General features: G+C 44.7%; 1 protein-coding gene across 2 annotated transcripts in view; it reads left to right on the top strand.

Moving 5' to 3' along the window:
* The window catches only part of GATB (glutamyl-tRNA amidotransferase subunit B), a 90,504-nt gene that overhangs the window by 45,634 nt on the left and 29,624 nt on the right, over positions 1-15,246 (top strand). For both annotated transcript variants that reach the window (NM_001363341.2, NM_004564.3), the window contains exons 6-9: positions 7,273-7,386; positions 10,105-10,189; positions 11,479-11,523; positions 13,856-14,045. In NM_001363341.2, the coding sequence (NP_001350270.1) occupies positions 7,273-7,386; positions 10,105-10,189; positions 11,479-11,523; positions 13,856-14,045 (434 nt within the window). The remainder of the gene's footprint in view (positions 1-7,272; positions 7,387-10,104; positions 10,190-11,478; positions 11,524-13,855; positions 14,046-15,246) is intronic.

Genomic DNA, 15,246 nt, shown 5'->3' with positions numbered 1-15,246 from the left:
TATCCTTTGCCCTGGTCTGGTACTGCTTTGCTCTCCCATAAGTCCGTAAAGGGTAGCCTCTGCTATCATTTTCTCCTGTTCTCTGTTCCTAGGGACTTTTTGAAAACTTCTTCCACCCTCAGAGCACACCCTGATGGAGAGGAGACAAAATATAGGTTCTGAATCTACAATTGTACTTTTCCATAGCACTGTACAATGGTCACAGCAGGTGCCCAGGAAATCCCGTTGATGATGATGTTCATCTCCATGCTGGTTGATAATACTGTTTACCAAGCTTAGCATGTCACATAATGTATTTGCATGTTACAGGGGGACTTCTGGATTTGTAATGCCACATTTGTCACATAGGATGTGTAATAAGCAACAAATTATAACATCAGAGCCCTGGTACATGTTGAATCTGAGGACAGAACTTGCTTATTTGCTATTTTACTTAAAGACTGGAAAAACACAGCCACATGAGTTTGAGTGGCATAAAGGTTAGCTGCCTACAAGTTTCTTTACAGAGACAACACTCTCTTTTAGAGTAAGAGAATTCTCAATTTTAGATTTATCACTCATGCCAGTTTTTTTTTAATCCACAGAACATAAATGAAATGTGGGCAAGTTGGATGGTTATCCATTTATGCTCCAAGTGTTGATTGCTTTAAGAAAGTTTTTATTATCCCATTCTTCTTCAAAATAACTGTGATTCCTACCAACCCTATGGGATCATAAATAGGTCACCTGTTAACTGAGAAATAGTCCCATCTGGGTCCTTGCCAAGAGATAAACGATAGTGGCAAGAACTCATCAGTCAGTGACAGCTGAGAGTGTTCATTAAATCTCACTTGTTGTGACACTTTTTGTTTCTTTTAAATACAAATCCAACAGCTTTTAACACAGCAGCCGAGTAGCTTTGGTTGTTCTAAAGTTCCGTGGGAGCTGAGGTCTGCCTGGAGTCTGCAGGGAGCCAGCTCCTTTGGTGCTGTGAGCATTTTATCAGCCCCCTCTCCTTTGCTCATCCTTCTGTCCCTCCTCCCACCCCTTTAGGACCACTGTGTTGGCCTTGGAGCCTGCAGCTTAGGAGCTGAGGGCCACCCTGAAGAGGTGACACTGAAGACTAGTGGACACCCAGGGTGCTGTGGAATGAAGCCTAATTGCTTCTGGGCTGTGGTTCTGTGAGTTCCTGATAGTTTTGCTGATGAGCATAGACCAGCTTAGCCCAGGTTCCAAGTCATTTCATTCTCAGTGGACAGCCTTTTGCCCCTGTTGTGGAGATGCCCAAAGTATTAATAGTTTGGTAAGTTGAATGTGTACAGAAGTAGACATGCTAAGTGTTTCAACGATAATAATATCTATCAGTTGGAACATTTAATATATGCTCCTCAGTTCACTAGGCATTTTAAAATTAATTTGACATCTCATTTACATTTTATGACATTGCTGAGAAGTAGGTGGTAGTGTTTGCCTGTTGCAGGTGAGGAAACTGAGGCTTAGAGAGGTGGGAGTTATTTGCCTAAGGCTTACAAGAAGTGACAGAGCTGGGACTTGAGCCCAGGTGTGTCTGGGTCCAAGAGCCCTTTCTGTAAGCACAGCTTCGTACCACTTCCCTAGTGGCAGCCATGGCAGTGTCATGACCATCACAGATGCTGACTTAAGAGAGGCAGGATAGCAAGGTGGGGTGCCAAGGGCTGCCAGGTCCTGGATCTGGCTTGGAATCCTGTCCTGCAACTTCTAGCTGTAGGTTCCCAGGCTTTGATTTATCTGAGCCTCACTTTCCACACTTAAAAAACATGTTCCCAAATAATTTTGTACAGAAGGGGAAAAGAAGAAACCAAAGAGGAAAGGAAATCATCAAGGCCATCTGATAGAGCTGATGGAGTTGCAGCAGCTGGCTGAGAGGAATGACTTTGTGGGAGAAAACATAGAATTCCAGTTTGGGCAGGTTAAGTTTGAAAGGCCTTGGGAATAGCTCAGTGGCTTTGTCACCAAAACCAAGAGTTCCCAACCATTTTAGCTCCGGGGACCGGTTTCGTGGAAGACAATTTTTCTGTGGACTTGGGGGGCCGAAGGCGGGGTGGTTTCAGGATGATTCAAGTGCATTACATTGATCGTCTGCTTTATTTCTATTATTACATTGTAATATATAGTGAAATAATTATACAACTCACTGTAATGTAGAATCACTGGGAGCCCTCAGCTGGTTTTCCTGCAACTAGATGGTCCCATCTGGGGGTGATGGGAGACAGTGACAGATTATTAGATGGTAGATTCTTATAAGGAGCACAAAGCCTAGATTCCTCTCATGCACAGTTCACAATAGGGTTCGTGCTCCTATGAGAATCTAATGCCATGGCTGATCTGACAGGAGGCGGAGCTCAGATGGTAATGCAAGGGATAAGGAGCAGCTGTAAATACAGATGAAGCTTGTCTCTCTTGCCCATCACTCACCTCCTGCTGTGCCATCTGGTTCCTAACAGGCCACAGACCAGTACCTGTCCATGGCCCCCGGGTTGGGGACTTCTGACTAAAGCTATATTACAATGAATGTACTAATGTCAAGAAATGTACTAATGAATGTACTAATGTCTAGAAAACTTAGGACAGGGCCTCGAAAACAGCCTGTGCTGGATACATGTTCGGTGCTCTTATTAACAGTAATAAGTAGTAATACTTTTATGGAATTACCACTCATCTAGATGAGTGAGCTTTGTAAAATACGTTCAGTAAAATTTGTTCGCTTTTTTTTTGGTCAAACCTTGTTATTTTCAGTGATCAGAACGAGATAGCTTAACAAACCTTACCCACTGCATCTTTGGGCCCCTGCTGTTTGCAGAAACAGTTTTCCATCTTGATGTTATATTTCTGTTGTGTGAGTGTGTTTTAGAGAAAAATATGAAACTGCACTTTATCACTGTGCTCAGTGGTATAGTTTTTTTTAGTTTTGCTGTTATAAATCTCTACTTCTAGAAGATAGAAATTGAGCCTGATGCCATTCTCATGATGTGTGAATGAAGGCTGTCCCTCAGTGGTGCAGAATGCATTGAAGTAAACCTAACTAGTAAAGCTTTTGTGCACTTGAGGCAATTTAACTTAATTTGTTTAAAAGGTATTTTGTCTTCACTAGATAGCATGTCTTTTGTTAATGTTTGATACTGCATTTGAATCCAGGCTGGTGAACTCTCTTTCAACACTGCAGGATACTAAATGATTCCTCTCAGGTATTTATGGAGTGTAGTCTTCTCTGGGAGAGACCGAAACTCATGCTTTTATTCCTCTTCCAAATTAGAATTCTAAATTGTGAAAGATGCTTTCATTTTTAAAAGCAGGCGAGGTCCAATTCATGGTTCCCTGAGTTCAAAAAAAGTTGTCTCCCAAGTATTGCAATTTGGTTCGATGGAGCTCAGCACACTTTGGAAGTTTTCCTTTGAGCTTAATGGGCCTTTCAGAGGATTCCAACTGCAGATTAGTCCTATTCAGACGGAACTGTAGAACTTACCGGGAACCTAGTGTGAGACAGAAACCAGTCTGCTTACTCATTGCTCAGGAAAATGCCAGCGTTCTGGCATTCGTCGCTCAATAAGATTTCATTTATTGAACAGTCACCAAGTGCCAGACCCAACTCTAGGTCCCACAAAAGGCGTTGTTCCTGCCACATGGATCTTATGTTCAGGAGGGTGACAAAGACATTAACAAATAAACTAATTACAGCAACAAATGCCTCAAGGAAATAAATGGGGTGCCATGCTACAGAGTAACATTGGAAAGTGACAATGTTGTTTTTTAAAGGCCCTCAGAGGAGGTGACATGTATTTAAAACCTGAAGAATGATTCAAGGCCCAGGCAGCATAGAGCCAGGAGACGAGCATTCCAGAAAACAGCTAAGGCCAAGGCCCTGAGGTGAGAAAGAGCTAGGAATGGGCCACGAGGTAAGCGAGGTAGCACAAGGCCACTGTGCCAGAAGCAGAAGGAGCAGTGGCATCAGGTGACACTGTAAAGGCAGGCAAGGGGTAGATCAGAGAGAATGGCAAGAAGTTTAGCTCTCAACCCAGGTGCAGTGGTAATCACTGAAAGGCTTTTAAGCAAGGGAAAGACATAGTCTGATGAATGTTTTAGAAAACCGCTCTGGCTGCTCTGTGGGAAGTGGATTTCCGATGGGTAAGAGTAGAAGCCAGGAGACCAGTTAAGAAGCTTTTGCAATAGTTCAGATGGAAGATGATGCTGTTTTGGACAGCACTGGTGGCAGTGAAGATGAAGGAGAGACAAGAGAGACATACAAGATGGTTTTTAGAAATAGGCTGGTGTGGAAGGTAAGAGACAGGGAGGAAGCACAAATGCCTTTAGGGAAGTTGGAGGAGCTAGATGGTGGTGCTGTTTACCGAAATTGGAAGATGAGATCGAGAATGTCTTTGTGCAGGGGCAAATCAGGATTTCCTTTTGGAAATTGAGATGCCTGTGAAACCTCCAAGTGGAGGTGTCAAATAGATACCAGAGCTGTAAGTGTGGAGCTCAGAGAGGTCTGGGCTGGAGAGAGAAATGTAGGCATCCTCAGCATGAGGTGGTATTTAAAACTGTATCCGTCCACCCAGAGAGTCTAGATAAGGAAGGGGATCCTGGGTTTGGATGGGAAGGAAGCCATCAGCAAATGAAATGGAAACAAAGCATCCAGAGGACGAAAACTGGGAGCAAAAGGCAGCAGAAGCTGAGCTAGGAAGATAATTCACGAAGGAAGGATTGGTTGGCTTGTCAAATGTTGCTGAGGCGTCCAGTAGGTGAAGACAAGCGTGTCCTGTGTCCGCTGGATATGGCAGCCAGGAGACTGTTGGTGACTCTGACAAGGGCATTTTTAGAGAGATGGGGAGAGAAGCTAGGCTGACGTGGGTTAAGGAATAAATGGGAAGTGAAACAGCGGAGACAGTGTATGCAACAAACAAACAAAACTTGTTTAAGAGGCTTTGCTGAAAAGGAAACCAGAGAAACGATAGATGAGTGACTGATAGAGTGAGAACTGGGTTCAAGGGAATAGGTTTTGGGGTTCTTGTTTGTTCATTTAATAAGAAATACTATTGCATATGTATACGTCAGATGGAATGCTGAGAAAGAGTAATGACTGGTATGGGAGAGAAGGGATAACTGAGAGTGATGCCCTTGAGAAGGCAAGTGGGAGTTAAAATCTGGCTCAGTCCTCAGGGGCCTTTCATTCTGGTCTTAAAGATGGAGGCCAGTGCACAGAAGACTATGGTCATGTACTGAATTCTGTAGTATAGATTATAAGTATTCTGATAGTTTAGGGGACCCACCAGTGCAGGCCAGCTTGCTGAGGAGGGCTTCTAGGAGGAGGCGGTAACACTCAAGTGAGTCCTTGAGGGATGAGGAGAGGGACAGTAGCTCTGATAAAGAGAGCGTGCTGGTGGAGCAGACAGGGTTGTGTATACAGAAGGCTGCCCTGATTGGAGGGGAGCTTTCTCCCGGAATGAGCAGTGGGAACATACAGGTTATGTCGACTGAATCCAGATGACAGCTGTGGAGCACCAAGCAGAGGAGCCCAGATAATCCGGTAGGAGCTGTCTGTGCTGTTGAGTAAACAGCAGGAATGATGAACCCAGACTATATATAGCAGGATGAAAGTTACAGCCACATTGCCAGTCCCTGGACAAGGAGGGAACTGTGTTGAGTCAGGATGTGCTCTTATCACCTAAGCCTAAAGTTCGGAGACCTCGGGCGAGGCACCTTGGGCAAGGGTGGTAGCCATGGAAATGGAAAGGCCGTGACAGACATTAGTGATATTTGACAGCTTCCAAACTGGTAGGGGCTAGTTGCCAGTTTGGATATAAGGGGCAAAGAAAACAGAGAAGTAGAAGATGACCTCAGGGTTCCTAGACCGAGAGTCTCACGGTGTCAGGAATAGTTGGGACTTCCTGAGATGCAGATACACACAACTTGTCAAAAAAGGGATTAAAAATCAGGGGTTACAGAATTCTTGTAAAAGTGTTGAGAAGTCAGTGCTGGAGAGAGTAATGTCTGAGCTAAGAGACATCTTTTCCCTGTCAGCACGGGTGGCAATTGGGCGAGCCCTTCCCTTTCTCTGAGGGTGAGTGGTGAGGTGTCAGCCACGGGCCGCCGGCGACCTCCAGCTTGGTATAGGCCCCACAGCCCAGCACTGGGAGAATGACAGAGAACCAGTTCCAAGGGTCTCCTTTTCTTGACATGGAATTCATTTTGACTACTTTATTATTTTAATATGCTTTTGCTTTGGAATCTTGGGAAATGAATTTATTCAGCCCATCAAGACACTCAGGTTTGGCAGATTACTTTTAATTTAAAAACGTAACTAGGAAAATAAAATCCAGCATTTTGTCTTCTCACTCTGTTCTCTTTTAAATGTTGTAAATGAAACGAGGAACAGAGAATCTGAGAGCTTTACTTTGTAGGGTGCCAAATGTGATTCTTTCTTACCTACATCTATTTGTCTTGGGATTTTTCTCTCTCTCTCTTCCTCAAGAGCCTTTTAGTCCTCCCCACACATTGCCTGCTTCTTTAGGGCTTGTTGCTCCTAATCTGAGGGGCCTCCAGGGTCAAAGAAGGTCCTCCCAGCATGGGGTCAGCACCTCTCTGAGTCCCACCACAGACTCCTGACTTCGTAACAGTGCTGTCTGTCTGCTGTAGCAAATCGTTAGAGCAGTCAGGAAGGATTCGGAGTCATGTTTGTGGAAGGAAGAGATTATTACAGTACCTGGAGGAAGGAGGAGGGGGGAAAGCCCAGATTTCAGTTCTTGCCCTTGAGCTGCAAATTCTCAAGGACTCTCCTCTAAATCTCCTGGAATCACTGTTAGAAATCCACATTCCAATGGAGAGCAGTGTAGGGTTATCAGATATATGAGGCCTTTCCTCCAACTCAGCTCTGACACTTTGAAAAAAAACTTCAGTATAAAACTGCAGAGTCAATCTCCATTTTAATAGTTTTGTTTTTCTTGTTTAGCACAAAAAAATTAGATCTCTCCAGCTGGCGAATCTAAAACTTCTCTTCCATATGTGCATAAGCACACACATCTGTATATGTTCACATGTACAGGCACACACTGTAGATGCCTCAGGACTGTAACCCCTCTCGAGTGGCCAGAAGTACCAGCCACGACCTACTTCAGAACCAACCGTGCCTTCTCTGAAGTTAGGCTGCTATAACTAAACAGCAGGTAGAGTTAGATGCTGCTTCCTTTGACACTCCCTGCCTTTAAAAGACTATGTCACCTCAAAGAATTTCTAAGGAGTTGTTTTCTTCTCTCCTTCCAGAGGGCCAGTTGAGAGTGGATGCCAATATATCCGTGCATCACCCTGGGGAGCCTTTGGGCGTTCGAACGGAAGTGAAGAATCTCAACAGCATCAGGTTCCTGGCCAAAGCCATAGGTGAATGCCAGCTGCCGCTCCTAGTGTCCTTCTTCCTATTGTTTCTCTCTTGCTGGGTAACAAACAACCCAGAAACTTAGTGGCTTACACAAGAACTACTTTCGTTTTCACTGGTCCGTTCTGTTGGTCCTGTGTCGGCTCACTCATGTGGCTGTGGGAAACCGGCAGGCCAGCTGAAGCAGAGGGTCCATGGTAGTCGCTCTCATACCTTGGGGCCTTGATGCTGATGTCTGCTGGGCTTCTCCATCCATGTGATCTTTCTTCATGCACTTGCCTAGCCTTGGCTTTCTTATGAGGCAGTGGGAGCATTTCGGGAGGATGAAGGCAGAAGTGAGTCCTAAGCTGTAGACCTCACACAGTGTCACTTCCAATGTGTTCTATTCAAAGTAGATTGAGGCCAGGCACAGTGCCTCATGCCTATAATCCCAGCACTTTGGGAAGCCAAGGTGGGTGGATTGCTTGAGGCCACGAGTTCAAGACCACCTGGGCAACATAGCAAGACCCCATCTCTATAAAAAATTAAAAATTTAGCCAGGCATGGTGGTGAGCACCTGTAGTCCCAGCTACTCAAGAGGCTGAGGTGGGAGGATCACTTGAGTCCAGGAGTTTGAGGTTGTAGTGAGCTGTGATCACGCCACTGCACTCTAGCCTGGGCGACAGAGCAAGACTCTGTCTCTAAGAAAAAAAAAGAAAATTACATTGAATTCAAAGCAGACTTGAGGGGAAATTAGACTCCACCTCTTTATCAGAGGATCCACAAAAGATCATGGCTGTGTTTTACCATTTACCACCTTCTTTCTGACCAGCTTGAGATTTACTAGGTCATGGTTGTTCATTTTAGATTGACCATGGCTTGACCTAAATGGTCATTATGTTTTCCTGCTTTTTATATTCTTTTTAACTGCTAGATTATGTGCCCATGCAGTGAAGTAGTAGTCTTTCTGGAGCACACACTGTGGGTATTTCTTTGATGATAAATGTATAATAACTAAAATAGTTTAGCAAGATAAATATCTGAGCAGTCCCGTAGATATAGGTAACTGTGAATTCAAGGGGAGGACCTCAGAGGACTAAAAAGATTTTTTAAAACCGAAGCTATCTAGAGAGGAAGAGGGAGGGATGGAGTTTGAAGTGCACCCCTTCAAGGGTGCACAGAGACCAAGACAACTGAATCTGTTGCCAAAGTTTTGCTGTAGCCAAAATGTTTAATAGAGCCCTGGTCTTGTCAAGAAAAGTATTAGAAACAGTACAGAAAAGATGATTCTAGTCTTGTATTAGACCTTATTGTCCTGAACCTGAAGTGAATCAACCACTCAATGAAGACAGTCTTCAGGAAAAAGGCATTAAAGTGGTCAAACGGATAGCTTATGGGAGCAGAGAGGGAAGGGATAGGCTCCTATATGAAGGCAGACTAAAGATGGTGAACTGTTCTGCATCCGGAAAGGGACATAGCCCATGTTCCCAAAGCCATGAAAGGTTTGAGTCAGGGAAAACCCTTATAAGCCAAGTTGGTGAGGAGGAAGCCTGGAACAAATGGAGGAAGTTCCACCTCCCCCTGTAGGTAGTGGGCTGGGACCCGTTATTTTAAGAGGTGGTGATGGTAACCTTAAAAAAGCAGCCCAATTTTAGGTAGAGTCATCCATGAGTTCTGAAGGAGACCCCTAACCTTCTCCTGTCCTATGAAGAACTCTTTGGAGGACCAGTCTGAGGGAGAAATCTCCCTGTGGTCTGACTCAGAGTGGAAGAGCCAAAGCTTTACTATGGGTTCAATTCTCCAAGCCTGTGATTTTTCACCACCTTTTTCTCCCTATGTCAGGCCATTTAGCCATCATCTCGTGTCAACCAAAGAGATCACTGGAGTTGGGGAGAGATGGGGAGCAAAAACTGACACGTTTTGCTGTTGCTGCCTCTTAGCAACTCAGATAAAAGGGTTTAGGTTTGGGCAAGGGAAGGTAGTACATGGTGGGAGGGAGAGTTAAGGTGGAGGCTCAAGATATTTTCATAAAGCAGTTTAGCAGGCTGGGCTTAGTGGCTCATGCCTGTAATCCCAGCACTTTGGGAGGCCAAGGCAGGAGGATTGTTTGAGACCAAGAGATTGAGACTAGGCTGGAAAACATAGTGAGACCCCCATCTCTCAAAAAAAGAAAAAAAAAGCAGCAACAGCTTAGCAATTGTGGTTGTGTTTTGATTCCCACAGCCTCCCTCATTTGATGCTGAGGCATGGGTCCTTGGATCTTAATCATTTGGGGTCGTGGGTCCCTCTGAAAAGATAATGTAAATGCTGGACCCTCTCTCCAAAACCTGCACATATGCACACAACCCACACTTTGTGTATAATTTTGGGGATACCAGAGCCTTTGAAGCCCATCCCAGACTCCCAGGGTAAGGGCCCTGGGTAGGCAGCAATCTCAGACCGAGATATTGGGCCCAGCCCCACTTCTGCCAAGTCATGTCATCTGCATGGGGTTGCTTAATCTCTCTGAACCTGAATTGTCTCAACACGGAGTGAGCCTGCCTTCCTAAGGCCCTTTCCAACACCAATATTCTACGATGGCAGTGAGAAGGAAATATAGTGTGTAAGGGAAGGATTATTATAAACAATCTTCTTGATTTTTTTTTTTTTTAACTTAGAGATTGAGAAAGGTTGTTTCTAATTATTGCTTGACTGGATGAAAGGTATAATCAAAATATGATGCTAAATTAGTGTGTTTTTCCTAGACTATGAAATTCAGAGGCAAATCAATGAACTTGAGAATGGAGGTGAAATTCTGAACGAAACACGCTCATTTCATCACAAGCTGGGGTGAGTTCGCATTGCTGAGCGTCCTGACCACAGCCGGGGGTGGTGCGAGAGGGCTGGGCTCAGCCACTGACCAGCCATGTGACCTTGAAGGAGGCACGTAGCGTCTCCACTTTTAGGTTTCCTCATTAGTACAATTAGAAAAGTACTGTACCCTTCATGCCTGTAATCCCAGCACTTTGGGAGGCAATGGGCAGATCACGAGGTCGGGAGATCGAGACCATCCTGGCTAACATGGTGAAATCCTGTCTCTACTAAAAAAATACAAAAAATTAGCCGGGCATGGTGATGGGTGCCTGTAGTCCCAGCTATTTGGGAGGCTGAGGCAGGAGAATGGCATGAACCCGGGAGGCGGCGCTTGCAGTGAGCTGAGATGTTGCCACCGCACTCCAGCCTGGGCGACAGAGCGAGACTCCTCTCAAAAACAAAAAAGAAGGCCAGGCGCCGTGGCTCACGCCTGTAATCCCAGCACTTTGGGAGGCCGAGGCGGGCGGATCACGAGGTCAGGAGATCGAGACCATCCTGGCTAACATGGTGAAACCCCGTCTCTACTAAAAATACAAAAAATTAGCCAGGTGTGGTGGCGGGCGCCTGTAGTGCCAGCTACTCGGGAGGCTGAGGCAGGAGAATGGCGTAAACCCAGGAGGCGGAGCTTGCAGTGAGCCGAGATAGTGCCACTGCACTCCAGCCTGGGCGACAGAGCAAGACTCCGTCTCAAAGAAAAAAAAAAAAGAAAAGTACTGTACCCTATAGGGATATAATATACCCTAGGGCTGCCAGGAGGCTTGAAGTGACCCAGACTGTGCCCAAGGGCTTCGTTTTAGGCCCTTTCCTTCTCTGCTTCCAGCTTACCTGCCTTGTGGCAAGAATTTTTACTTCCTTAATCTATCAGATCTTTCCCAGCTGAAGCTAGAGGCGGAACAGAGTGAAGACCTGGTTGTAGAGATGCCTTATTTTTGTTTAGATAACTTGGGCCTTAATTTTCTCACTCAGAATTTTGAGCATTGTATACTTAAAGCAGAATACTGAAAAAAGCTCAAAAGCCGAGTTTGAGCTGGCTGAAAGATGGCTACATTGAAGTCATTTCCTTTAAAAAAAAAAAAAAAAGATCATTCTGTACATTTCGCTTTCTTTATGATTGTTTTTTGAATGTATTCATTTAAGGTTTCCCCATGGAAGTCCACAGAGTTTGATTTTGCCTGTGCCCCTTATTGGTAGGGGAGCCCTTCCCCACATATAGGCTGGCCAGTGCTGCTTTCAATGTTTAATGTTTTCTTATTTAACTATTGCAGGTGCACCATGTCAATGAGAGACAAAGAAGGAAAACAGGACTACAGGTGGTTACTCCTTATGGCAAAATACCGCTATATATCGGGGGCTGGGGCGTATTTCAAGTTCATTTAAAGTTCAACATAATGATCCTGAACAATTTTTAGAAACCACTTTTTGTCATTGTTGTAACATGATGGGACATCTAGACTTCCTCTTTGATATGCATACCGAGAGAAGTACTAGTTTCTTGATTTGGTAGCCTCAGATCTGGTGCCTTGTTTGACTGATTCAGCTTTTGGAAGAACTTGTTCATCCACTGCTGTGTCAAAGTTGTCATAGTTGAGCTAGGAGGATGGCTGTAGAGGTTGGGGCCTAGGCTGTTCTTATTCTAATGTTCAGTAACTGATTCAGTAATACGCTGAATGAAGCTCCTTGAGAAGAAATGAGAAAAGAGATGTTGATAGCGTATGTTGATGGTAGTTCCCTTGAACCTCATATGATGCTATTTCATGATAAATTAAGTTGAACTACTTAATATGAGACCCACAAATAAAGCAAATGCTAAGAACAGGCATAAGATAATTGAAACTTTTATTTTTTTCTCATTGAGTTTAGCAGGTTGAAGTTTTAAGCAACAAAGTTGTGAGATCGGCCACCTTTCCTTTGTGAAGGGCAGAAAGATGCAAATGTAGCTATTATCAATGAGGATCAAAATTTGCATGTTTATGTGGGAAAGAAGAAACTCATAAACGCTTAGCATGAACCTCACCCCAAGAACTCCCATTGTCTGTCTGCTAGAGTCAAAATTATTTTAATTAACCGTGAACTTCCCGGGTGAGTCTGTTCTCCCAGGGGCCCACTTTATTCCTGAGTGTTGCTCCCTCCCCTGTTGGTGCGCCTTCCCCTGAGTGTGGAGTCCGGCTTTCCATCCGCCCGTGGCTTCAGCATGATGCCTCAAATGATAGTGAGCTGCAGGAAGCTTCCCCTGGGTTTCCTCTTGCCCTCAGAAGCCAGACTAACTCACAGAAGAGATCTGGCAGTGAGCCGATGGGTAGCGTGTGCTTCGAATCCATTCCCTCCAAACCACCACTTCTTCTGAATACCCTGCTTTTTCTACATAAGCCCTTTGACAAAAATGGGCAGAGAGTAACCATTAGTGCTGGACGAGAACAGAGGGAGGGACATCTTGTTTCATAAGATTACATGCAATGGTGCAGCTTTGACACTTAAAAAAATTAATTCCCTTCATTTTTTAGAGCAGTTTTAGCTTTACAATAAAATTGAATGGAACGTCCAGAGTTCTCACATACTCCCGCTCCCCACTCTCCCCCCAGAGTCTCCTGTTAATGTGCCACAGTAATGCAAGATGCTCATTTGTTACAATGATGAAACCAATCACACTTCCTTATTGGCTAGAGTCCATGGTTTACACTAGGGTTCCTTGTTTGTGTGGTACATTGCGTGGGTTTTGACATATGCACAATGACATGCATCCACCATCGTGTCACACTGAGAAGTTCCACTGCATGCCCTGTGCTCCACCTCTTCATCCCTCCCTCCCTCTTCTCCAGCTGTCACATTTTGTTTAGGCAAAATCTATTCATTTCTTCTATTTCTCAAGGGTAAATTTTTTTCCTTTCATTTTTTATTTATGTAAATGCTGCTAAAAATAGTAGAAATGTTGAAATGGGGGGAAAGTCATCTTTCCTTCTAATAAGCAAATTGCTCTCATTTGGTCCTGTTTTTTCCAGCCTGTGTCTTTATGAAGACATAGTCCTGCATACATATGGATGTTTCTGTCAACAGTGGATTACGTATGCTACAGGAGTCCCATAAGATTGTCATATGGCATTTTTACCGTCCCTTTCTTGTTCAGACATGCTTAGATACACCAATGCCATTGTGTTACAGTTGCCTGCAGGATTTGGGACACTCAGTAGCCTTGGAGCAGTAGGCTACTCCACATGGCCTATCTGTAGTAGGCTGTACCATCCAGGCTCATGTGAGTGCACTCTGTGATGGTCCCATGACGAAATCACCTAACGACACATCTCTACGAACATATCGCCGTTGTGAAGCAACACACAACTGTGGGCACAATTCCTGATGAACAGTGGAATGAATGATCCACAGTTACAAATCCCAGTGTGACTTCAAGCCTGTGTTGTGCTTCTTTCACTCATCTTATTTATAAGCATGGAGAGGGGTGGGTTTGGAGGTTTTGACACTTATGCAATGGCTTCCCTGGGAAACAGAATTGACGTAATAGGACATTTGAAAATATTTGCAAGTAACATGGCATCTAAACACAGAAACATTCATATTACTGGGGGAGGTTTTGTTTTCTCATTAATCCAAGTACTCCAGATTCAGGTCCCGTCTCCTCTGTCTGCCCAGGTTCATGCCAGAACCCAACCTGCCTCCCCTGGTGCTCTACGACGCCACATCTCTGCCCGCAGGTGCAGACCCACAGCAAGTGATCAATATTGACCAGATTCGGGAGACACTCCCGGAGCTCCCCAGTGTGACCCGAGAGAAGCTTGTCCAACAGTATGGGATGCTGCTGGAACACAGCTTCACTTTGCTGGTAGGTATCGATCGGATGCCAAGAGGATCCCGGCTCAGCAGATGGGGCAGTGCCCTTCAGAGGCCCCGCCACACACAGGCTGCCATGGGCTCTGAGTGGGGTGGGCGTGTTTCTTGGGTTGTACTATAGATGCTACTGAGAAGAATAAGATGTAGTAACCTTTGCTCACTACCCTTTATGGTAAATGCTCTTCATACAACCAGAAGATGAAACGCAATCTTGTGTTAGTCATTTCTTCTGTGTAGAAATGAACGCCTGACCACAGCAGCTGTGGAGACTTCTTGAAGACTGTCCAAATGTTATGGATGAGTTTTTCCCATGTGTCTGAAGGACAAAAGAAAATCAATGTATAGGGTTTCTGGATGTCTAGCGGTATCGAGCCATGACAGGGCTGGCAGGATGTTGCGTTCTCAAAAGCCAGCCAGTTGTTTTGCCAATTTCAGAAGAAAACATTTATTCCACATGAAACACTAAAAACTCTGACTAAAAGTATCAGTCCTTTGAGGCTTGAGGCTGCGTCTGACGGGGCCGGTAGAGAACCTGACACTGTCAAGATCTGCTTAGGGATTTTCCATCCTTTTCAAAGCTGCCTGGGGCTTTGTGGTTTTCTTTGTCATGGCAGCATTAAAGTGATGCGGCATCAGTGAGGGTAGTATTTTGTCACCGTTGTCGTCGTCTGTTAGGAAGGAAGTGGGAAGTTTTGTTGCTGCATCTTCCAGGGAATCAGTATATGCCACACCTATCTTTTGGGGCAGCAGGATCTGCGGAAACTGGATTTTTGCTTTTTGGATGGCCAGTCATAACTACATTGGGATGCTGGAGTATATATATTTATATGTCTATTTATACACTTCCAATAACAACATCCTAGCATTTACAGTACAACGTAGGCAGTCAGATGCATGTTGAATGAGTGATTCTCTCTTCATCATCCATAAATCAGCTACTTGGAGAAGCAGAGTTGGTCACTGCCTCCTGTGGGCTGCTGTTTGATCTTCTTCTTACCTCTCTGGCAATTATATCACTGTCTTTTAAGTACTTATTAGTGTATGTTGTTCAGCATCTTGAAGGCAAGGACTGCTTCATCCTCTGTGCTACTCAGCACAGATGAGCACAACATCAGCAGTGCTTAATGCCACACTTTGACTATGACTGAGTCAGTCAGCATTCCGTACAGAGCACCTCTTAACCCAAAGCCTCT

This window comes from Homo sapiens, chromosome 4 (genome assembly GCF_000001405.40).
Source record: "Homo sapiens chromosome 4, GRCh38.p14 Primary Assembly".
In the NCBI taxonomy this organism is placed as follows: domain Eukaryota; kingdom Metazoa; phylum Chordata; class Mammalia; order Primates; family Hominidae; genus Homo; species Homo sapiens.
Note: the sequence above shows the minus strand (reverse complement) of the source record. Positions and strands in the feature narration are given on the sequence as shown.